Source organism: Homo sapiens, chromosome 8, assembly GCF_000001405.40.
Source record: "Homo sapiens chromosome 8, GRCh38.p14 Primary Assembly".
NCBI classification, from domain to species: Eukaryota; Metazoa; Chordata; class Mammalia; order Primates; family Hominidae; genus Homo; species Homo sapiens.
The window spans coordinates 142415193-142438272 of NC_000008.11; the positions used below are offsets into that span (position 1 = coordinate 142415193).

General features: G+C 55.0%; 4 annotated features.

Moving 5' to 3' along the window:
- Positions 654-1645: an enhancer, noted in NCBI's record as "H3K27ac-H3K4me1 hESC enhancer chr8:143497207-143498198 (GRCh37/hg19 assembly coordinates)". NCBI's record gives its function as "activates a minimal SCP1, AML or CMV promoter by ChIP-STARR-seq in naive H9 embryonic stem cells {active_cell/tissue: H9 hESC(naive)}" and the evidence as "EXISTENCE:reporter gene assay evidence [ECO:0000049][PMID:30033119]".
- Positions 1646-2635: an enhancer, noted in NCBI's record as "H3K27ac-H3K4me1 hESC enhancer chr8:143498199-143499188 (GRCh37/hg19 assembly coordinates)". NCBI's record gives its function as "activates a minimal SCP1, AML or CMV promoter by ChIP-STARR-seq in naive and primed H9 embryonic stem cells {active_cell/tissue: H9 hESC(naive and primed)}" and the evidence as "EXISTENCE:reporter gene assay evidence [ECO:0000049][PMID:30033119]".
- Positions 11973-12747: an enhancer, noted in NCBI's record as "H3K4me1 hESC enhancer chr8:143508526-143509300 (GRCh37/hg19 assembly coordinates)". NCBI's record gives its function as "activates a minimal SCP1, AML or CMV promoter by ChIP-STARR-seq in naive H9 embryonic stem cells {active_cell/tissue: H9 hESC(naive)}" and the evidence as "EXISTENCE:reporter gene assay evidence [ECO:0000049][PMID:30033119]".
- Positions 18616-19116: an enhancer, noted in NCBI's record as "H3K4me1 hESC enhancer chr8:143515169-143515669 (GRCh37/hg19 assembly coordinates)". NCBI's record gives its function as "activates a minimal SCP1, AML or CMV promoter by ChIP-STARR-seq in primed H9 embryonic stem cells {active_cell/tissue: H9 hESC(primed)}" and the evidence as "EXISTENCE:reporter gene assay evidence [ECO:0000049][PMID:30033119]".

Sequence of the window (23080 nt, forward strand, 5' to 3'; positions counted from 1 at the left end):
GTGCTCCTGAGCCCTGGTGTGCTCAGGGAGGGGCCCTCCTGGGGCTGTGGGTGGCAGGACTGCCTTCAGGAGAGGAGGCACCTCTGCAGCTCCGTGTGACCCCATGATTCTCTGGCATGGAGGACTACCCCTCCCTTCTTCCCCCTAGTGTGTATGGAGCTCACGGTGACAGAGAGGGGCCTGGGGCAGGACTTCAGGCTGTGGGGACCCGGTGGACAGGGGCTAATGGGGGGCACCAGTGGCAGTGGTGGGGGACAGCAGCTGAGGGCCCTGAGCCTGTCTGAGTGGCTGGGCAGTGGCCTTCCCCACCGGCCTGGCCTCACCCAGGTGAGACTCAGATTCTGAAGGCACTAGGAGCTTCATCCCTGGGCGTGGACAAAAATCTCAGCAAGCTTGGGTTCAAACCTCAGCTCTCTCTTGCTGTGTGACCTTGAACAAGTCACTCTACCTCTCTGGGCCTCACTTTCTTGTCCAGGAAACGGGCACTTGAGACCAACCATGTGGAAATATGTCTGTGAAGCTTGGCACAGATTGGGGGCCATGTGTGTGGAATTTTGGGTTTCCAAGCCCCGACCTCAACCTGGGTGCCTCCCGTCCACCCTGCGAGGTTGGCCTCCAGGCCCCAGCTTCCATCCATGCCTTGACAGAGGTAAGGAGGCCTTCCCATCTGTGGTGGGGACAGGGACCATTCCTGTCTTGTCCAGTGGCTGCAGGGAGGTGAGGGGCAGCAGGTGCTCTGATGAGCACTGTGGCATCATCCCCACCCAGCCCCTCATCCCGGGCACGCGAGGCTGTGCTCTCAGGCCATCCATGCACTCGCTCAGTCCTTCACTCACCCCAAAAACATTCATCAAGGACCTTGACCCAGGCACTGGAGGGCAGCAGCGACCAACACCAGCAAAGCCCCTGCCCACCCCACCACCCGGAGCAGACACTGGGAGCCGACCGCACACAACCCACCCTGATTCTCACTCCTGTCTCAGACAGGAAAACAGACAGCCAGGTCCCCAGCAGAGGAAAATACACTATTCGTGCTTGGCACCAGAACTGAGAAGAAAGAAGGGGGATCCCAGACCATCCAGGCAAGGGGATGCGGGTCTGTCCTGGGGGAAGCCGGGGACCCGCCGCTCCGCCGTTTGGTGCCCCTGCTGTGTGGATGGGCCGCTCACTGGCCTCCCCCTGGTGACGGTGGGCCAGCGCCGGGGGCGGGAGGCGCTGGGAATATTGACTGTATTTGGTGATCATTGCTGTATTTATAGGGCTCGATGGAGATAAAAATAAAGTGAGGAGGAGCCGCGTGAGTCACTGCAGTGCTTCGCAGCGTGGTCTCTGCCTCCCAGCTGGGTACAAAGCCTGGGGTGGGATGGGTAAGGGGGCAGGGGCCAGGGACCCAGACAGGGCTGGGCCCAGGACAGCTGGACAGCTGGGTGTCAGTGGAGCCCTGTGCTCACTCCTGCGCTGGCAGCCAGCACCCCTCTGAGCTTGGAGCAGGGTCTCCCCCAGTGCGGCCTGTCTGCCTCCCATCCCCAGACCACCTGCATGGCCGGAGTCAGGTTCAGCAGGGTCCCGGGCCACCTGCGTGGCCGGAGTCAGGTTCAGCAGGGTCCCCGGCCACCTGCGTGACCGGAGTCAGGTTCAGCAGGGCCCCGAGGTAGGAGGAGCTTCCAGAATCCTGAAACCCCAGGCAGGATCTGTCCTCCAGCCCTCCTCTGGAATTTCCCCGGCTTTAACTCTCCCTTTCCGACATCCCACAGCGCGGGTCCCATGCACGTCACAGGGCTATTGTGAGGGCTTTGCACGCTGCCGAGGGCTGTGCTGATGTTAGGATGTGTGCGGTCCTCCCTGTGTGGGCTCCCCGCTCCCATGTCTTCCTGAGAGCCTGGCTCTTCCCCCGGCTGCGTTCCGTCCTCTATTTTTGCTTTGAGTTCAGCTGTTGTAAGTCAAGCCCACATGAGCCTCAGGCTTCAGGTGGGCAAGGGAGCCACAAACAGCCAATTGGACCCCCCGTGGAGAGCTGCCCAGGCTGGCAGAAGCCTCGGGAGTGCTTGCTTTCCGGCTCCAAGCCTGTCCCCTGCCCGGCCTTGGACTTGGAATGGCCTCCATGAAGACCCTGTTCCCACTGCTGAGAGTCACTTGCTGCCAGCTCCTAGCTGGGTCCCTCTCAGGGAATGGCCTTTGACTGGAAGCAATGTCCTCGCTGCCCCCACCCAAGGGCAGCCTAACCCCCGGGACTGGCTGACACAGTCCTGGACCTCTCGCCCCAGGTTGGCACAGCTCTGCAGGGGCATCCCAGCTCCAGGGGCCGTTATGGGGCTGGCCGAGGCCCCAGGACCACAGCACCCAGTCCATTCTCCCGCTCTGCCTCCTCACAGGAGCTGCCCCTACCAGCTTTCCCCAGTAAACATCCATCAGGCAAACGCCCACCTCAGAATCTGCTCCAGGCAGAAGCCTGCTTTCCCATGGGGACCCCAGTCTGTTTGAATTGGGTGGACGCTTCCTGATGCTCCCGAGGTCGGGGCCTCCCAGCCTTTTCTGACACTTTCGGCGGGGGCTACTGCATTGGTGAGCATGCATCTTGAAGGCCTGGTGCCACCAGCCTGCCTGCCAGCAGTGGGGAGCTCGTTGGAGAGCTGGGGAGCAAGATGGGACCCCAAGCCCCGCCCCCACAAGCTGCTGGATCCACCCAGACCTGCAGCTAGTTGTTTCAGGGAATGTACGGGGTCCTAGTTCCTTTTTTGCTTGAACAGGCTTGAGTTGGGCTCTGTTCCCCTCTGAGTGGAGATCTGCAGCTAACCCGGCTGTGGTGAGCTCTGGGAAGTGGGGCCTGCTTGGAAACTAAAGGGCTTCTTGGGCCCTGTGAGGCTGAACACTGCTCGGGGTGTGCAAGCCACAAAGAGGTTGGAGAGTAGCTGCCAAGGGCTGAGAGGTGCTTCTAGCCATCACAGCCCACCACCCCTGGCTCTAGGAAGCAGTGCTGGGGTCTCTGGCCATCAGCCAACCAGGGTCCCATGGCGAGGCTCTGTAGGAGGCCCTGAAGGAGGGATGAAGCCTGTAGGAGGGGACATGGCCATTGCCGGAGCTGCCGCGGCTCCCCTGGGTGGAGCGGGAGCCCCAGGAGGCCAGGTCTGCGCAGGGCAGAGGGGGCAGAGGGACACTGCCGAGGCACAGAGAGCAGGCTGAGCTTGGCCGGTGCATTGGCTACACCGTGGCGGGCCCCCTGTCCCATTTGCTCCTGTGGCAGGCCCTTTACCCCACACTGTGCCAGGCATGCAGAAGGAGTGTGACTCTGCTCCTACTTTGTTGAGTGACTGAATGAGAGAAATGGCACAGCCCAGGAGAGAAGCCAGAACCAGCTGTCCCTGGGGCTCCCCTGCCCCACCGCAGGCATGTGAATGCACTCCCAGGCAGCCCCTGAAGCTCCTGGTGGGCGGGCGGTGTCACTTCATTAGCATAAACCAGGGGAGGTCCCAGCTCCTCTCAAGCCCTGCAGCCAGACCTGCTCACCCCTCAGCCCCAGGCTCCCCCACCCTCCCCAGTGAACCTCTTTCTGCCTTGGGGCCCTGGGTGTCCTGCCCTGCCCGCCCAGGCAAAGTGGCCATGGCATTGAGGTAGGAGTTGGGTGACCCTGTCCTGCAATGCTGGGCAGAGTCCTCAGAAACTTGTAGTCCTGGTTCCCCATGTCTTATGGATGGGGAGACTGAGGCTGGAAGGGGCAAAGTGACCGAGCCCCACCATAGGCAGCCCAGGCCTCCCCAGAGGCCTCGAGACCCCTGGGTTAGGCTGCTCAGAGCCCAGGTCCTGGCTTTTCTGGGCCACAGCCTCTGCCAGCCCTCATGCTCTCCCTGCAGGGTTGGGGTGGGATGCCCTGGGGCAGGGGTATGGATAGCACAAAATGTCAAGGCTGGGCAGAGATGTGGCCGCACCTGGGAGGTGAGAGTGCAAGGCTAGGCAGAGGCGTGGCCACACCTGGGAGGTGAGAGTGCAAGGCTAGGCAGAGGCGTGGCCACACCTGGGAGGTGAGAGTGGGGCTGTGAAGCAGAGAAAGGAGGTGAGCCACATTGGAATGGAGTCAAGGAGACCTAGAAGTTGGGGGCTGAGAGGTCAGGAGGGCGTGGGGCAGGTCCAGGTGCAGCAGCAGGTGCAGCAGATGCAGCAGGTGCAGCAGGGGCCTTGGGGCTAGAGGGGGGTGCTGCGGGAGGAGACAGTGCAGAGCTCTGGTGTGCAGGTGGAGAAGGCTCTTCAGGCCAGGGATGTTGGCTCCTGGGCCTGAGTCCCAGAGCTAGGCCTGGAGCTAGGGATGTGCTCAGTGTCACCAGGACCCTTTGCTGTCCCTGCCCTTTGGTCCATCCCTCTCCATGAAGGCCCGTTCTCACTTCGCCTTCTCTGGTAGCCTCACCATGGCTCTTGGGGTCTGGAAGCCTCTCTGAGTCTCTGTCTTGCGGAGGGTGGGAGCACCCACTGGGGCACATCTGGGCCCTGCCTTCACCGCCATCCCAGCCGCCAAAGGGTTTTCTGGGTGGTGGAGCACACAGAGGCTAATCAGGCCAAAGGGTTTGTTTGTAGCAGTCTAGACGCAAGAGAAGCCCCAGGAGAAACAGAGCCCTTGTGTCCAGCTCCTGCCTGAACTGGAATCCTGGCGAGGTTGGCGGGCGCTGCCATGGCCTCCAGCCTCAAACTATCCACAGTTGGAGAATCTGTGGCTTTTCATTGTTTGGAAGATGGAAAAGGGATGGAGGGGACGAACCCTGCCCTCTTTTTCCTTTTCCTCCTGTTTGGGAACAGGCGGGAGCCCCTGGGCAGTGGAGGCAGTGGGGAGGGAGAGTCTGTGTAAAAGTACCCCGGGCTCTGGTTCTGGGTAAGGTGGAGCACACACACGCCAGCTTCCTCCCCCACAGAATGAGGCTATGAACCTGGACAGGCAGCAGCTGCCTGAGGACTCTCAAAAGTCAATGCTAGCGGGTGAACTGGGGAGGAAAATTTACATCTGAAGCAGCCCCAAGCCCATGGTAAGTCTCCTCCTTTCTCCCCACTGGTGTCCTCCAGCCTGGACTCAAGGTGGCCTGAGTCTGGAAGTGGGCATCAGCACCAACAGAGGAAGATGGAAGAAGCTCCTTCCAGCTCTGGCTCCTAACACGGAAAGAGTGGGGGAGAGATTTCCATTTCTTTTGTCCCTTTCTGTTATCTCACACCCCAGCCCCAGGCAACCCAAGTGCAGTGTCCTACAGGCAGGGCAGCAGGCGGGCCCCAGGCATTTACAGACCCCAGGAGGGAAACTTCCTCTCTAATCAGAGGATCTGAGCTCACAGGAAGATGGGGTGAGCCTGAATTTTTTGTTTTTCCCTCTATCCTCATCCCACTTGGCCCACACATGGGGAGTGCATGGAGCAGTGTCCTAATGGAAACCTTCCTTTTGGCCAGAAGACCACAAGAGGAAATCCCAGTGAACAGAGGTATAAGAGGGCACTGAGGAAGCTTGGGAAGGGGACATCATCAAGTTGTTTATGATTGTCTAGGACCAGTCCCAAGCTGAGCATGCGTGGACCCTAAACAGCATACCACACACTTGGAGAAACCATCTGTGGGGTAGACACTGCCCAAGTTGCAGAATGGCCATGGGGTATTCACACACAGGACAGATATGAATATCATAGAAATCACAGCCCATGAAAGACAGGTCAGAACTTGCAGCCAGGGCCAGGTGTGCTGGCTCATGCCATAATCCCAACACTTTGGGAGGCCAAGGCAGGAGAATCACTTGAAGTGAGGAATTTGAGATCAGCCTGGGTCTCAAACCCAGAGTGAGACTCAATCTCCATAAGAATTTTTAAAAATTTGCCAGGCATGGTGGTGCATACCTGTAGTCCTAGCTAATTGGGAGGCAGAGGTGAGAAGATTGTTTGAGCCCAGGAGATCAAGGTTACAGTGAGCTATGATCACAACACTGCACTCCAGACTGGGCTGGGCAACAGAGCAAGACTCTGTCTCAAGAAGAAGAAGGACAAGGAGGAGGAGAAGGAGGAGGAGAAAGAGAAGGAGAAGGCAACAGAGATGGAGAAGGAGAAGAACTACTTGCATCCAGGAAGCTGGGGAGATTGCCTGCTAAAACAAGAGTTATCTCCATCTCCACAGGATTTAGACCAGATCCAAGGCCTTATACAATAATATTCAAATTTTCCAGGATATGATCCAAAATGACTTGGCATATGAAGGACAGGAAAATGACAACTTGTGTTTTGCATGAAACAAAACAATAAACAGAAGCCAACTCAAGATGGCACAGTTGTTAGGATTCAAACAAAGACTTAAAAGCAACTATTATAAAAATGATCCAACAAGTAAAGGCAAACACTCTTGAAATAAATGGAAACATAGAAAACTCAGCAAGAGGGGGAGGGAGAGAAAGAAGAATCAAATAAAAACATTGGAACTGAAAATTGCCTAACCAAAACAAAAATACTTGTGGTACAAGCTCAATAGCAGGATGGGGATGACAGAAGAAATTAGTGAACATGAACATGGGTCAATAGAAAGTACCCAGTATAAACAACAGGGGATAAAAAGAGTGAAAGACCTGTGGGACCTGTGGAAGGATATCAAAGTCTAACATTCATACAATCAGGGCCCACAGGGAGAGGAGAAATATAATACAAAAACAAATATTTGAAGAAATAATGGTTGCAAACTTCTCAAATTTAGTAAAAACAAGCCTACAGATACAAAAGATCCGTGAACCCCAAGCAGTATAAATCCAAAGAGATTTATTTCCAGACACATCAAATCAATCTGCTAAAAACAAAAGACAAAGAAAAAATCTTGAAAGCAGAAAAAAGTAATGAATTATTTATAACAGGAAAAATTCTCCAAATGACTTTGGATGTCTCATCAGAAACCACAGAGGCTAGATGGAAGCAGAGGAAAATTTTCATGCTGAAAGGAAAGAACTACGGCCTAGAATTCTATACCCAGTAAAACAGTCTTCAGGAGTGAAGGTGAAATACAGACATTCTCAGATGAAGTGAAACTAAGTGAACTCTCTTTCTGTACTATTTTTACAACTTCCTGTGCATCTATCATTATTTTGAAATAAAAAGTTAAGGGGGAAAAAAGGGAAAAAGACCTCAACAAAGTTCAAGAAAGGGGATATTTGGATGGTAAATATGCACATGGAAAGATATTCTACATCATTCATCATTAAGGAAATACGAATTCAAACCACAAGGAGATGTTATTCCACACCTACTAGAATGGCTAAAATACGGGAGTGGTGGCTCACGCCTGTAATCCCAGCACTTTAGGAGGCCTAGGTGGGCAGATCACCTGAGGTCAGGAGTTCAAGACCAGCCTGGCCAACAAGGAGAAACCCCGTCGTCTTTACTAAAAATACAAAAATTAGCTGGGCATGGTGGTGCATGCCTGTAATCCCAGCTACTCAGGAGGCTGAGGCAGGAGAATCGCTTGAACACAGGAGGCTGAGGTTGCAGTGAGCTGAGATTACACCACTGCACTCCAGCCTGGGCGACAGAGCAAGACTCCACCTCAAAAAAAAAAAAAAAAGAATGGGGTTAAAAAAAAATACTAACCCTACTAAGTGTTGGCAAGAACTCAAGGCAACCGGAATTCAGTCACATTACAATGGAAATGCAAAATGGCTCAGCCACGCTGGAAGACAGGTTGGCAGTTTCTTAGCAAGTTAGACGTGCGTTTGCCACAGGGACCAGAAATCCCATTCGAGGTACTCACCTAAGTTAAGCAAAATCTTATATTCACAAAAACTTGTGCACAAATGTTCATAGCACCTTTATTTGTATTAGCCCTAAATCGGAAAGTACTCAAATCTTTCAACAGGTGAGCGACTTAACAAGTTGTGATCCATCCACACTGCAAGATAGAGCTCAGTGGTGAACAGAAACAGAAACGAACTTCTGGGATATGCAACAACATGGTGGTTGCCAATGGTGTTATGCTGAGTGAGAGAAGCCAGCCTCCACAGGAGGCGTACGTGCCACTCCACCCACATGACATTCTCAGGAAGGCAGATGTACAGCAATGGAGTTGCAGGGGGCAGGGGCAGGAGGAGGTGCAACTGCAGGCAGAAGGCACAGGGCAGGGGAAGAAACTGTTCTGTATCCTCATGGTGGTGATGGTTACATATAAACACAGGCCGGGCATGGGGCACACACCTGCGAGCCCAGCACTATAGGAGGCCAAGGCAGGAGGATCACTTGAAGCCAGAAGTTTGAGGCCAGCCTGAGCAACATAGCAAGACCCCATCTCTACAAAAAAATTGTACGTGTAAACTCATAGAACTCCACATGTGAATTAAATTTTTAAAATTGTCTTAGAAGAAAGGCCACAGAGCCAGAGAAGGACTGGAACCCATGGAAGGCCAAGCTTCTGGAACATTCCTCCAGGGAGCATTCAGGGCAGGGGCTCTGATGTCATCCTATGACATGACTGATGGTGACATTGGCCCGGTGGACTCAGCAGCCAGCCCTGAGCACCCCTGACACTAGCATTCCTCCTGGCCTCCACTTTCTGCCTTCTCACTCTGCTCTGTCTTTCCTATCTGGCTCTCTGACAGCAGGGCCACCCTCCCCTTAGACTGGAAGCTCTCCAAAGTAAATGAGGGATGGGATCTGGGGTTTACTGAGCATCTACTCTCCACTGGCCCCTGCCAGGTCCTGGAAAGGCACCTCATTTATCTGCACATGCTTGGGGCAGGGATGTTTGCCCCCACTTTACAGATGAGCGAGCCAGACTAGAGGCTGAGCCAGAGGGCAGGGGTGGGTCCAGGAGGGGCTGGGTTTGGATGCAGGGCCGCCTGCAGCCAGTGGTCACCCTCCCAGTGTGCAGCTCTGCCTTCAGACCAGTTCTTTACCAACACTGTGTACCATCTGCCTGCATCTGCGGTGCCCAGGGTGAGGACAGCCAGGGTGCCGGGTGGGAGCCTGAAATCGAAGCAGGAGCTCCTCAGGTTCTCTGCAGGCCCCTGCATGGGGGGCGTCTAGGGAGGGAACTGGCTTTGCACTAACAGACGTTCTGGGGCGGAGGCCAGGACTCAGGTGCCTGCCTGCCAAGTGCTCCTTGTGTAGCAGTCAAACTGGGTTGTGCTGAAAACTTGCTCCCCGCTGCCGCAGAGGACCTGTTAATTAATTAAATGACACTTCAGCTCCCTGCATGGCCGGTGAGTGAGAACGAGCACCCGTGGCTCTTAGGATCCGGGGCGAGGCAATGAGAGCAGGACACAGCAGCGTGGGCGAGGTCTGGCTGCCGGGGGCTGGCTGGGCAGGACAGGTGGGTGAGTGTGGAGGCTGGGGACACCAGCCTGTGGACACCGGGCAGGCGCTGGCCCCAGGACCCTGGGCTTTCCTGCCCGCTTTGTTCTCCCTCCTGTGTCCACGGCAGGCCAGCCACTCTGTCATCTGGACAGCCCGCATTGGGCTGCTGTCACAGCGACGCCGTCGGATGGTATGCGGAGCACAGACCCCATGCCCACCAGGGAGGTCTTCCCTGTCCTGGCCTGCCCTGCCTCCTTCCTGCCCGGAGTATCTGAAGAAGGGATCCCACAGCTCCCTCTGCATTTCTCCATCTCTGCGGCCACCCCCTGCCCTGGGTCCGAGGTTTGTCTCCCCCGACCAGACGGTGGGTTGACTGTGAGTAGGACAGTGTATGGGTCATCTCAGAGTCCACGGCCCCCAGGAGGCAGCCATGGGAAACGCTGACCACCAAGGGTGGGCCCTGTGCTGGGTGATCTGGCCTCTAATAGTCCAAACATTCCTAGGAGGTGGCATCTGTAGCATGAGCTGCCAGTGGCCCCTGGGGAATAGAATCCTGGGTCTTAAGCTGGGTGAGTAGTTGCCAGAATAAAGACTTCACTTCACAGCCTGACTAATTTCTGACCGATGGGATGCATAGGAAGTGATGTGTGCAACCTCCAGGAAGTACCCTTAAAGAGCAGTGTAGGCCGCTCTTCTCCTCTGCTCCTTCCTGATGGACAGAAGGTGAGTGTGACAGCTGGAGCTCCAGCAGTCACCTTGGACCATGAGGTATAAGACAGAGATGAGGAGGAACAGTGTGGGATGCAGTTGAGGGCCAGAGACGCTGACGTCATCCTGCTCCGTGGAGTGAGCCATCGTGAAGGCCAAGTCAACACGTCGGAAAGAAGCAAAGTATGGAGAGTCAGAGGAGCAGAGCTGCGGCCCCATCACGCTTCATCCAAAACCCGCAACAGCATCAGGTTTTCCATTTGCTTAGGCTAATCCACCATCCACCATCTGCTTGCATGTGGTTTCAGCCAGCTTGAGTTGGGTTTTCTGTTATGGGTTTTCTGTTACAGGCCACTGAAAACTTCCCAACACATACAGTGGGAGAGTCATGTGTTTCAGCTGGCCTGTGAGCCTGGGGAACCCAGGCAGACTTCCTAGAGGAGGAGCCCCACTGGGAGAAAGGAGGGAAGGGTGCTCCATACTGTGGGTGAGGGCATGGGGGACAGGTCCTCAGACCAGGAGGAGAGCTGGTACCCCCTGGACTGATAACCTGGCAGCCCCTGGGTCCCAACCCCAGGGCCCTTTGCCAGGCTCCATTTGGCCCAATTTAAAATTCTCAGGGAGCACCTCACACCTTCCCTGGAACTGTGGAAAGCATGGCATGGCCTCTCTGTACCCTTCAGATTTAGTTACCGCACCTCCCAGCTTTCCCAGGGCTGCCTTCCTCTGACCACATGCACACAGGATACACAAACATGTGCACTTGCATATACACATGGGCTCTGTGTGCACCTCTGTGTTTACATGCCGGTGCACATGCCTGCACCCCATGTGTGTATTCACATGCCCTGTACACCCATGTGTACACCATGTGCGTGTGGTGTACATGTGCACGTGCCCTTATGCTCATATCATGTCCACGCACACACACGTGTGCACTTGCATATGCATTCTGTATATACAAGTGGGTGCACACATGTACGCAGAGTGTCTGCATGTTGTATGCTCCTACACACACGAGGAGCATGCGCAAAGCTGCACGTGTACACTTGAACATGTGTGCACATGCATGTACCCACCCATGTATACACGTGGTGCACACATATACACATGAGGGTGTGCATACAGGCACACGCCAATATGCCCTACTCTCCATACAGATTTAGTGGAGGCAGAAGTGCAAGGGGCGTGGGGTGAGCCAGGGTCCAGCCAGACCTGAGGGAGACCAGCTGACACCACAAGAGAGGGCCATGCCCTCCTCGGCCATCCGTAGCAGAGCTTGCCAGGCCCCCGCCAGCCTTGGGTTTAGCTATGGCTGGGGGCAGAGGTCAGGAATCCAGCTCTGGGTCCCCCATGCCTCAGGCTGTGCAGGACTTGAACCAGTCCCCAGGCCAACCCAGCACCACACCCTTCCCCCTCTGCAGGATGGGCCTCCCCTTTTCACCCCTACCTGGATTCCCAACCAAAGACTAAAGACTTCAGTAGGCAGGGAGATTTGCACATCCTCAGGTGGTCAGGCTTCAGAGCTGGGGTTGGTGGGTAGGCGGGTAGAGGGGCTGGTGTGGCTGAAGCCCAGGGGAGTGCTGGGGAGGTGGTTGGCAAGCTCCAGATCTCTGCTCTGGGAGAGAGCAGGGGGCTCCTCCCTGGGGCCCAGCGGGACCTCAGTTTCACGGGAGTCTCAGAGAGCCAAGCCCCCTCCTCTCCCAGATTTCCTTTGTCCCACAATCCCAATGTCTGTGCCAACCAACCTGGTGCAGACCCTCGCTGCCGTTGGTGCTGGTGAGGTACCATGCTTGGGGGCACGTGGTGGCTGAAGGGAGGGAAGGTGTGGAATGTCTCAGATCAGCAAGTTCCAAGCACGGCTCACCGGCCTCCGCCCATGTGGCCTCCATTCCTCCAGGCCAGGGACAGGGATGGGGCAGGAGACAGCCTGTGTCTTTTATTCCTTTTATTTTTGGGAAAACAACCTTCTCCACCTCTTCAGGATTTGGGGAGCTGCTGTTCTTCACACCCTCTAAATCTGGGGCCAGCAAGTCACCAGCGACCTCTGGTACTACGGAGGTCAGCCCGGGGGGATGAGTTACAATGAGTTACACAAGCCCGTTCGTGACCCACATCGCCTGCCTGACACACTCCAGACACTGCAGGGAGTGCAGGCTGGGATGTGGCACTGGAGGGCGTGCACGTGGGCGTGTGCTGAGATTGCGTTCCTTACACACACAGAGTCTGTGTGTGTACGAGTACATCCTCATCATAGCCTTGGTGGCATGCCCTGGGCCCCCACAGATCCTGGCCAAGGATCTGGGCTCTGAGCTGTGGACCTACCCATGTTAGCGGCTGGATCCAACAGTGCCTTCTGCCCAGGCCCATGGCGAGCCTGGCCCTGTGGAGGGACGCCTCCTCCGTCATTACCTGCGTCGTCTGTCCTCTCTCAGCCACCTCCACCTGCGTCACTGCCAGCCTGCCTCAGCACGGAGCCTGCTTTCCCTCCCACCCCCAGGCCCTCGGTTCTTCCCACGTGGGATATTCTGGCTGTACGCGCGTGACCGTGACTGTGGGGACTGGCCCAGGGCTTGACTGTGGGGACTGGCCCAGGGCTTTTCAGGGTTGGAGCTGGGATTGGAGCCCGCCCTGCCTCGGGGAAGATCCTCGCTCCCTTTCTCCACGGCACCTCTGTGATTCTCGTCACCTGCCAACACCAGCACCAGGGCTGCCCCTCCTGACGGCCCCCTCGCCGTCTTTCTGGGCACACTCCATCGGCACAGCGTCTTCACTGTCCTCCTGACAAACCTCGTGCCACCCCCATCAGCTTCAGCACCACCTCCACAGCAGCCGTGGCCAGCACCGACGTCCTTTTCCGTCACCGTCAAGCCTCAAAACTGGGACCGTGGGTAATGGCGTCACCCCATCCGCCGTCTCTCTCTAGCTGCCAACGGCGCCTTCACCAGACACGCCCGGCACCACCTTCCAGGTCAGCAGTCCCAGCCCTGCGTATCGGAGGCCTGCTCTCCCACAGCGTCCACAGTCACTGGGCCAGGCTCGCACCTGTGAGGGGCCAGGACCCATACCGGAGCCCGGCGAGGCTCCCTCGGCCACCCTCTGGGTCCTCCTGTGCTCCTGGGGCACAGCCCATGTGGGCCCAGCCACCCAGGGCTGAGCGGGCTCTGCAGTCCCCAAGGCCGGGGCCCACTCCACTCCCCAGCGTTTCCCGTCTGCTAATTTCCTAAATGAACACTAATGCAAATGGCTCAGGCTGGCTGGGTTGGGTTTTTGTTGCCTGTTTATTTATTTTTTCCTCTTTGCTTCTAACTCCTTTTTCTACCCTCTAAATTGGTGCAGCGCGGGGAATTCACAATTCACCTCCTCACTCCCATTTCGGCACGCGCTCCTCTCTGCTTCCTTAATTATCTCATTTGTAATTCTTCATCTCCCCTCCCTTTCATCTCCTTCCAAACACCCCAACCAGTTAAAATAAATATATATTTTTAATGTTGAGGCGCCTAATTTAATCTGGCAGGCAGTGTTCTGCAGTCACCGGCAGGCATCTCAGGCTGAGTCACGTCGTGGGCCACAAGGCTTCCCAGCCCCCCGCCCGTCCTGCCAGTGGGCTGTGTGGGGAGATGGCTGGGGGCAGTGTGCCCTGGAGCCAGGCCTTGGACAGGGCACTAGGGAAAGCCTGAGGCACTCTCTCAACCGCCTTCCTCTCTGCAGGCTCTGTCTCAGGTACACAGGGAGCACCTGGGGAAGGGGAATGGCCTGAGGCTAGGCAGGGGGCAGACAGTTCACTGCCTCGCAGGTCATGCTGTGCTGATCCTGGGCTGCACCAGCTTATTTCTGACTTGCTCCTGATTCCCCTTTGCTGGGCTTGGTCATCAGGCAGACCCTTTGCACCACCCCAGGGACTGCTGCCACCACGTGTGTCCTCCACGGAGACCGCATCCCTCCCATTGGGACGCTCCTTCCAGCCCCACTGCAGCACCATCCTTGGACCTGACCTAGAGCCTTGACCAAGAGCACCACATGCGGGAGTCAAAGGGTGAGGGGCTGCACCTGGCCTGTCACCTGTCCTGCTTGGGGACAAGGAGAGCTGAGAGGACAGGGAGTCAAAAGCCCATCCCTGTGTGCCCTGGTCATCCTGAGACCTCATCCCCAAAACAGCTAACTGCCTGCCTCCTAAGAGAAGCTTTTCATGACTGGTCTGTTCATCCATCCATCCATCCATCCATGCATCCATCCATCCATCCACCCATCTATCCATTTATACATCTATCCATCCATCCATTCATCCATCCACCCATCTATCATCCATCCATCCATCCATCCATCCATCCACCCATCTATCCATCCATCCATCTATCCATCCATTCATCCATCCACCCATCTATCCATCCATCTATCCATCCATCTATCTATCCATCCATCCATCCACCCATCTATCCATCCATCCATCCATCCATCCATTCATCCATCTACCCATCTATCCATCCATCTATCCATCCATCCATCCATCCATCCATCCATCCCTTCAGTCATTCATTTACTCAGAGTTCACCTGGCTGAGAGAGGTGCTCTAGGGGTTCAGAAATGAGGCTTGTAAGAAGGGGGATTCCAACATCAGGAAGTCCCAGGGCGCTTGGGGCTGGAGGCAGGGGGATGGAGAAAAGCCCCAGGCCTCAGTGTGGCCATCTGTCCCACCGGCCATTGCAGCTGCCCTGACTGATGCTTCTAACATGGCCCCTGCACCTGGACTTGCACCAGACCAGGCCCCTCCTACACTGCCTCAGCGTCCCGCTGCCACTCCCAGTGCCTATGGGCCTCGGGGTCTACAGGCCCCACCAGGCCCTTTCCCAACCTTTGTCCCTGTCCCTCTCCATTTCCTTGGCCAATGGAATATCTGCCAACAGGAAATACAAATGAAAACTGCAACAAAATGCCCATCCACACCGCTGGGCAGGACTGGCTAAAATAACACGTGCGACGCATGCACCTGCTGATGGAGAATCCACGCCGGTAAACCTCAGGCTGGGCGTGGCCTCGGCCCGGTGCTTCTGTTCCCCCATAGACACCCTAGAGAGTGGTGCCCCGCATACTCAAGGAGGCCCCTGTGCAGCTTCCTCTAGGGAGACACAGCATGTGAGCCTGGCAGACACAGGCCGGGCCCTGCAACCTGTGTTTCCCCTGTGACAACCCACTTAATATACGGAACAGCTGGGGAAGTTGAAATCCTGGGAATGGCGTTCAGGGACAGAAGAGTAGTTGGAAGGACTGAGGCATGTGTAAGAGCTGGGAGGCACAGAGCTGCAGGCCTCACTGTGAATTAACCTCACACACAGCACTGAGCACAAAACACTAAGTACTGAAGGGAGTGTGACTTGGGGAGCCACTTACGAGTTTAGGAGCCAGGGGAGCCCCTCTGTGCACTATCTGAAAGACGTGTATGGAAGGGAGAGGTGAAGAAAGGGACTTGGGAACCAGAGGCTCCATTGCAGCAGGAAGAAGAGGGAGGCTTGTGGGTCACGGAAAGTCAGGTAGAAGACGGCAGCGTTTGGTTTTGTTCCCCTAAACCAGAAGAGATCAGAGGCAAACATGGCAGATGCTAAGAGGCATTGGAGCTGGGTACTGGGATGGCTGCCAGTTATGTTGTCCCCATACACTTCAGTGTAGTGGAAATATTACAGAAATGTTTAAAAGAAGAAAGATACCCAGTAACTAAGTACCACGGAGGTGTAAAATGCTGATAGCTCCTGGAGCCTTGCTTGCAGGGGTACAAATTACCCTAAAGTGGAGAGGGACTAATGGGGTGTCATGGGCTCCTTGCCCGTCCATTGGTAGAGCTGGGAGTGGACTATTCTTGGAATCCCTGCAAACATCCCAGGATGCTGGTTCCCAAGGCTCTCGTCTCTCCACGTGGAAGCCCTGCAGGAGGGAGCACGGGTCCCACCTTTCCTCTCCATGCAGCTCTGCCCCTCTGCCCACCACCAGGAAAGACTCAGCTGGCTGATTCTCAGGAACGGGTACCGGGCAGCCACAGCTCCCTCCTTGGAAGTACACAAGCTACGGCTGGGTGACATCCTTTGGGGTCCCTGCAGAGGCTTGCCTGGCATTCGAGGCCATGTAGGTGCATTGGGGTGAGCAGGATCATGGGATCAGGAGAAAATCCCCGCAGGCTGGATCTGCCTTGCCTGGCCATGTGATCCAGGGCCTTGTGTGCCAGTTTGTGTGCATATATGATTGTGAATATGTTTGCATTTGGTGTCTGTGTTTTCATGTGTTTGTGTGTATGTGCACCTATGCTTGTGCACCCATGCACACCTTGGGCTGAGACCCTCTGGGGGACAGAGACCCTGAGGGCCCCACAGAGCTGTCAGCTTCCTGGGCCTAGCTCCAGTTGAGGACAGAAGGGGAGCAGGAGGAGGTAGCTAGCGCTGGGTCATGTGCTGTGGAGGAGTGGGATGAGGGCTGTGGGGTGATGGTGGAGTCTTGAGGTATAAGGAGCTGCTCCACCTTGTCTGACTATCACCCCTATGTCTTGACCCATTCATACACCCACTCATCAAATAGTAGCTGAGTCAAGCAGCCCTGGGCCCAGCCGTGAGCTGGGACTGGGATAGATACAAAAATCCAAATACGCAGGCCATGCCACCGCATTCTGCTGGGAGAGAGACTGCACACCAGAAGGTGCTGCCTAGGAGAGGGGGCTGAATAGGATGCAGGGAGAGCTCAGAAGGGCCAGGACTCCCCCACCCTCCCAGAGCTTCAGACTGAAAAACATGGTGGGTTGACCACAGGAAGAATGGCATAAGCACTGAGCGAGCCAGTTGCCAGGCTCTGAAGACATCTTAGGAGAGAGCCATGAGGATTCTGGTTCCTGGCTCCATGGGCCATCCAGACCCTACAGGCCCGTTTGCTTCAACACCATTACAATTACTATCATCATTACCATCCCCTGAAGCACCACCACCACCACCACCACCACCTTCGCCATTAGTGCCAACACCATTATTACCACCTTCACTATGACCACCACCATCATCATCACCATCGCACCATTATCATCACTATCACCATCATCACAACTACCACCATTACTATCTCCACTACCATCACTACCAGCACCACCACCATCATTTTCCCCATCATCACCACCACCATCACTATCACCATCAACATCATCACAGCCATCATCACCACCACCATCACCATCGCTCCCATCACCACCACCACCACTGTCACTATCACTACCATTACTATCACCACCACCAATATCACCATCACCACCACCATCACCATCACCACCACCATCTTCCCAATTAGGCTATGAGCAGAGGACTGTGTAAACCCAGTTGAGGGCAGATGGTGAAATGACAAAGGCTACTGGGCAGTTTGGTATGGAAGAACAGGAGAAAGTTTGTCAGGTTACTTGCTTGCCGTGTGATCTTTTGCATCAGCTTGCTATTTTGGAGCCTCAGTTTCCCTACCTTTAAGAGGGGAATTATGCTTGCTAACCTCTCTGCTTTTCAATGTTTGAGAGTGAGATAATTTGAAGTATTTGAAGGTGTGTGTGCCTTGTAAAGTGCTGAGCAAATGTTACGCGTTATGATCACCGTGTGAAGCCCATTCCCAGTAGTGACCCCCTCCCCAGCCCTCCTCCCAGCAACCACACATTTGTCAGGTTTTGGGAGGGCAACAGTTCCAGGAACGGACCCCAGGAGCTGGAAGATTGATTCCACCTTTGACTGGAATGCAAACAATATGCAAATGAACATGCAAATTCCCTGTGTTCCTTTGGAAGATCCCAGCCTGGTTCTTTAGGGTGGGCTGCCCTGCCGCTGGCTTTGAACATGGGGAGGGACTGAGTTGGGGAAGTCAGAGGAGGAGGGAAAAGGCGTTGACAAATCAGTACCTGATTGAACTCAACTGGCCAATGCTGCTGCCCTGTCTCTGTTTTGCAGAGTATCAACTGTGTCTTTACAGAGGCCCAAGCCTCCCTCATTGTCTCCCCCATCAGCCTCTGACTCCCTCCTCCCCAACAGCTCCCAGCCACTCACTCCCCATCCTCTCTCCTCCTTCCCTTCATCCAGCTCTTCCTGGGCACTCTTGCAGGCTCTGGACGCACTCTCCTCCTATGGTGGGAACTCTGGTTTTGAGGAGAGACACAAGAGGAGATGATCCCCCCACTAGGGTCTCCCCATCATGGTCCCATCCCACGGGTCCAGGCCACAGACTGTCAATATGGAGAGTGACGTGAGGACACTGAGGCAGGGGTTGCCCTCACCTCGGGGAAACGGAGGTTTCTCCCTAGCACAATGTGGTCCAGGCAGCCCAAAGGGAGAGGGCGTCCTGGACAAAGGGCTCAGCAGAACAAGGACTAAGAGGACAAGAGAGAGCCTGGCAGGGGTGGTGACCAGCAGGGTTCGGGGATGAGGGAGGGGGGCTGGCAGCCAGGTAGACCAGGACAGGCCTCATGAGTGGGGAGGGGCTTGGGCTTCATGGGAGGAAAAGAAAGCCACCGAAGGCTCTGAAGCCCTGGAGTGGCAGGTCACAGCAGCCCTTAGGAAAGATAGCCTGGGGCAAGGTGCACTGGAGGTGAGGAGGCCAGCGGCCCCTTCACAGCCCTGAAGAGTTGACCCGCTTTTCCTGGAACCCACAGGAGTCTGGGGCAGACAATGGCTGGCTCACGCCCACATGTCACGGCTCCTGGGAGCCCTCCAGCGCGCTCTGCCCCTCACAGACTGAGGATCCCTCCCAGGGGCATGTGGGTGACCAGGCTGCCTCCTGGGGCTCATCCACAGAGTGATGGGTGAGAGGGTCCTCTGGGGCTTCCGAGAAGGGATTTAACAGTCCTGCTGCACCCTGGCTGTTCTGTGCCTTCAGGTGGGGCAGGGTTTGGTGTGCACATCCCTCTCGGGGAGACAGGGTTCCAGAGTCCAAGCCCAGGCCCTGTGCCCATCTCCAGGGCCCTCTCTGCTGGGGCTGGCACAAAAGCCAAGAGCCTGAAGCTGACCCCCACGTCACCTGGACCCCACGTAAAGGCTCCTGGTTGCTGTAGTGACAGCTGTGGCCAGCTGGGGGAACCCACCTTCTGCCTGTGCGTGGGGAACCTGGGCCAGAGACGTCCACCCATCAGGCAGCCAGGAGCTACCACAGTGCCTCGGACAGCCCCAAATGTCAGTCTGTGTGCAGAAGGCGCCCATCCATGAAGTCATCTGTGATGGAATCTGTGTCAAATCCCGTGTTCATCTTCCTTTTTTTAAAAAAAAAAATTAATCTGCATTCGAAGAAGCTGGTTGTGTTGAGGCCACCTGCAGGGCCACTGAGGTCCCTGTTCTAATAGGATGTTAGAGCCAAGTTTCTGCTGGTGCTGGGTGGGCGGGGCATGCAGGAGGGCTCAGGGACCCTCCCTTGGGCTACTGAGGCAGAGTAATGCTTGGGTACATGCAGTCCCGTGCACCCATCCTCACAGTGCACTTACATGTATGCTTACACTCCCACTCTCACACACACGTGCACTCACACTCATGCTCACACATCCACTCACATACATATGTGCATTCACACACGTACACTCATACACGTGCTCACACACACTCACACGTACACACGTGCTCACACATGCACTATCAGGCACACAGTGCACTCACGTCCTTACACATCCACTCACACTCACATGTGTATTCACACACGCTCACATATGCACCATCATGCACACACAGTGCACTCATACACACTCACACATCCATTCACACACACGTGCACCAACACATGCTCACATGTGTATTCACACAATGTGCATGCTCGTACACGTGCACTCTCGCACACACATGCACTTTCACACACACATGCACTGTCATGCACACACATGCACTCAGTCACATGCACACACTCTGGCACACACGTGTACACTCGCACACACGTGTACACTCGCACAAACACGCACTATCATGCACACACGTGCGCTCAGCCACTTGCACACACGTGTACACTCACACATGCACCATCATGCACAGACGTGCACTCACAGTCATGCACACACGCTTGCACACACGTACACTCGCACACACATATGCATTTTCACACACTCACATGTGCACTCACAGTCACATGCACACACTCTTGCACACATGTGTACACTCGCACACACATGCACTAATCATGCACACACATGCACTCACAGTCACATGCACACTCTTGCACACGTGTACACTCACACACATGCACTATTATGCACAGATGTGCACTCACAGTCACATGCACACACACTTGCACACATGTGTACACTCGCACACACATGCACTATCGTGCACACACGTGTGCTCAGTCACTTGCACACACGTGTACACTCACACACACGCACTATCATGCACAGACGTGCACTCACAGTCACATGCACACACTCTTGCACACACATGTACATTCACACACTCACACATGCACTTTCACACACACACTCACATGTGCACTCTTGCACATGCATTCCTCTCACTGCCTGCTCCAGAAATACCCCAGGCCTTTCTTTCGTCCCCAATCTTCTGTGTGAGTTGGAGCAGGCAGGCCAGGGCTGCTGTAGCAATAACACGGCAGATATGCAACAGCTTAAACTGCATAGATGTTTTCTGTTGCTCATCAGGGTCGTTGCGGTGGCAGGATAGTCTCTACCCCACAACAACCAGGATCCAGGCTCCTCATCTGTGACCCCACCAGCCCCCAGGCAGCAGGGGGTGCATGGAGCAGGTTGGGAATTTTCTGCAAGCTCAGCCTTCATGGCCCCACACTCCATCAGCTGGGACCAGTCATCTAAGCACAGGGGCACTGGAAAACAAGAGTGGCCTGTGTCCAGGAGACAGAGGGGGTCAAAGTGGTGTCACCTCCTCTCCTCCACCTTCCTGGGCACACAGTCTCTCAGGGTGACTTCATGCCCCCACCCTGATGCCTCCTCAACTCCTACCCCTGCCCAGACCCCTGTCCCAAGCACCCCAAAGATGCCCATGGCCCACCCCTGCCCAGCACCTGCCTCTTAGAGGGTCTCACTGCTTAGTGGTCTGTCGGATTGTGGATCTGACCATCCACTTCTCTACTTCAAGCCCTTTGGGGGCTCCCAGGCCTAGGATAAAGGCTGCACTCCCCAGCCAGGCACCCACACCTTCCAAGGCAGCCCCACCCTCCTCCTGCTCCCCTTTCGCCCGAGGCCTCTTCGCCAGCTAGTGCTGCCTTGCAGCAAGTCAGCCCGTGACCTCCAGCCTGAGAACACGGGGTTGCGGTGTCTGTGGAGTTTGTGGGTCAGGACTTCCAACAGGCCTGGGGGGACGGCTTGTCTCCGGGGCCTCAGCTGCGGCTAGTGACCAGTACGGCTAGTGACCAGCTGTGGCTAGTGACCAGTGTGGTCTCTCCAAGTGGCCTGGGCTTCCTCAACACATGGTGAGCTCTGGGCAGCACTTTGTTTCAATAGACTACATTTTAGAGCAGTGTTAGGCTTATTGTTGATCTGAAAATACGATACTCTCTCCCTCTCCCCACCCAGTTTCCCCCATTTTTTACAGCTTGTATTAGTGTGCTTCATTTGTTACAATTGACGAGCCAATAATACAACATGATCACTAAAGTCCACAGTTCACATCAGGCTTCATTCGGGGTATTGCACATTCTACGGGTTTTGACCAATGTGTGTGACACGTATCTACCTTTATACCAGCACCCAGAGGAGCTTCACTGCTTTAAAAACCCCTGCGCTCTGCCCATTCACCCCTCCCTTCCCACTACCCCAGCGACCACTGATGTGTTTACTGTCACCATAGTCTTCCATTTTCCGGAACGTCGTAGAGTTGGAGTCACGCGGTACATAGCCTTTTCAGAGCGGCTTCTTTCACTTAGTCATATGCATTGAAGATGCCTCCATGTGTTTTCATGGCTTGATAGCTCTTTTTTTTAGCAGTTAATATTCCCTTATGTGGATGTATCACAGTTCGCTCATCCACTCACCTATTGACAGGCGTGCTGATTGCTTCCAAGTTTCGGCAGCCATGAATAAGTCTGCTATGAACATCCACGTGGAGGGTTTCCTGTGGACCTCGCTTTTCAATTCATTTGGGTAAATTGCAAGGAGCATGATTGCCAGATTATAAGGTAAGAGCGCGTTTAGTTTTGTAAAAGACTGCCAAACTGTCTTCCCCAGTGGCTGGCTCAGTGTGCACTCCCACCAGCAATGAGCGAGAGTTCCTGATGCTCCACATCCTCGCCGGCATTTGGTGTTGTTGCTGTTCCAGGTTTTGGCCATCTGAATAGGTGTGTCATGGTATCTCATTGTGGTTTTAATTTGCATTTCCCTAATGACATATGCTATTGAATGTTTTTTCTTGCGCTTATGTGCTATCTTGTATCTTTGGTGAGGTGTCTTTTCAGATCTTCTGCCCATTTTTAAATTGGGTTGTTTGTTTTCTTATTGTTTAGTTGTAAGGATTCTTCGGATGTTTCCATTATGTCTTTTATTGGGTGTGTCTTTTGCAAATGTTTTCTCCCAGCTTGTGGCTTCTCTCTTGATTCTCTCAACACTGTCTTTTGCAGAGCAGTTTTTAATTTTAATAAAGTTGAGTTTTTACATGGCAGCTCTGGACTCCAAAAGTGAGTCCTCTAGCGACCAGGTGGGAGCTAAAGAACCTAGGCCAGGCAGCCTCACCTCCAGTCAGGCAGTCCCAAGACCACCCAGATTCATGGGAAGGAGAGGCAGACCCCGCCCCGGGTGGAGTAGTGTCAGCATCATGGGTGCTATCATTGCATTCATTTCTGAAAAGCCCAATCTGCCACATTTCCAGCTACCCAAACCCTGGACAACTCCTGCCCTTCTGACAAGCAACTTCTTGTCCCCTAGAGAAAAGGGTTTCAGGGTGCCCTGGTCTCCTGGCATGTGGGTGGTCTTTGGGAGTTGTCTGCATGCCATTGCCCCCTGAACCTGGCTGACTCTTCCAGCAGAGACCCCCCCGCCCCCGCATCCAGGGGATGAACCACGATTGATCTGGACCAGAGAAGCAACCCTGTTTCGTTTCCCGTGATTGGTCAGCTTGGAACATGTGATCCTTTTCTGACCAATGAGATGCAAGAGA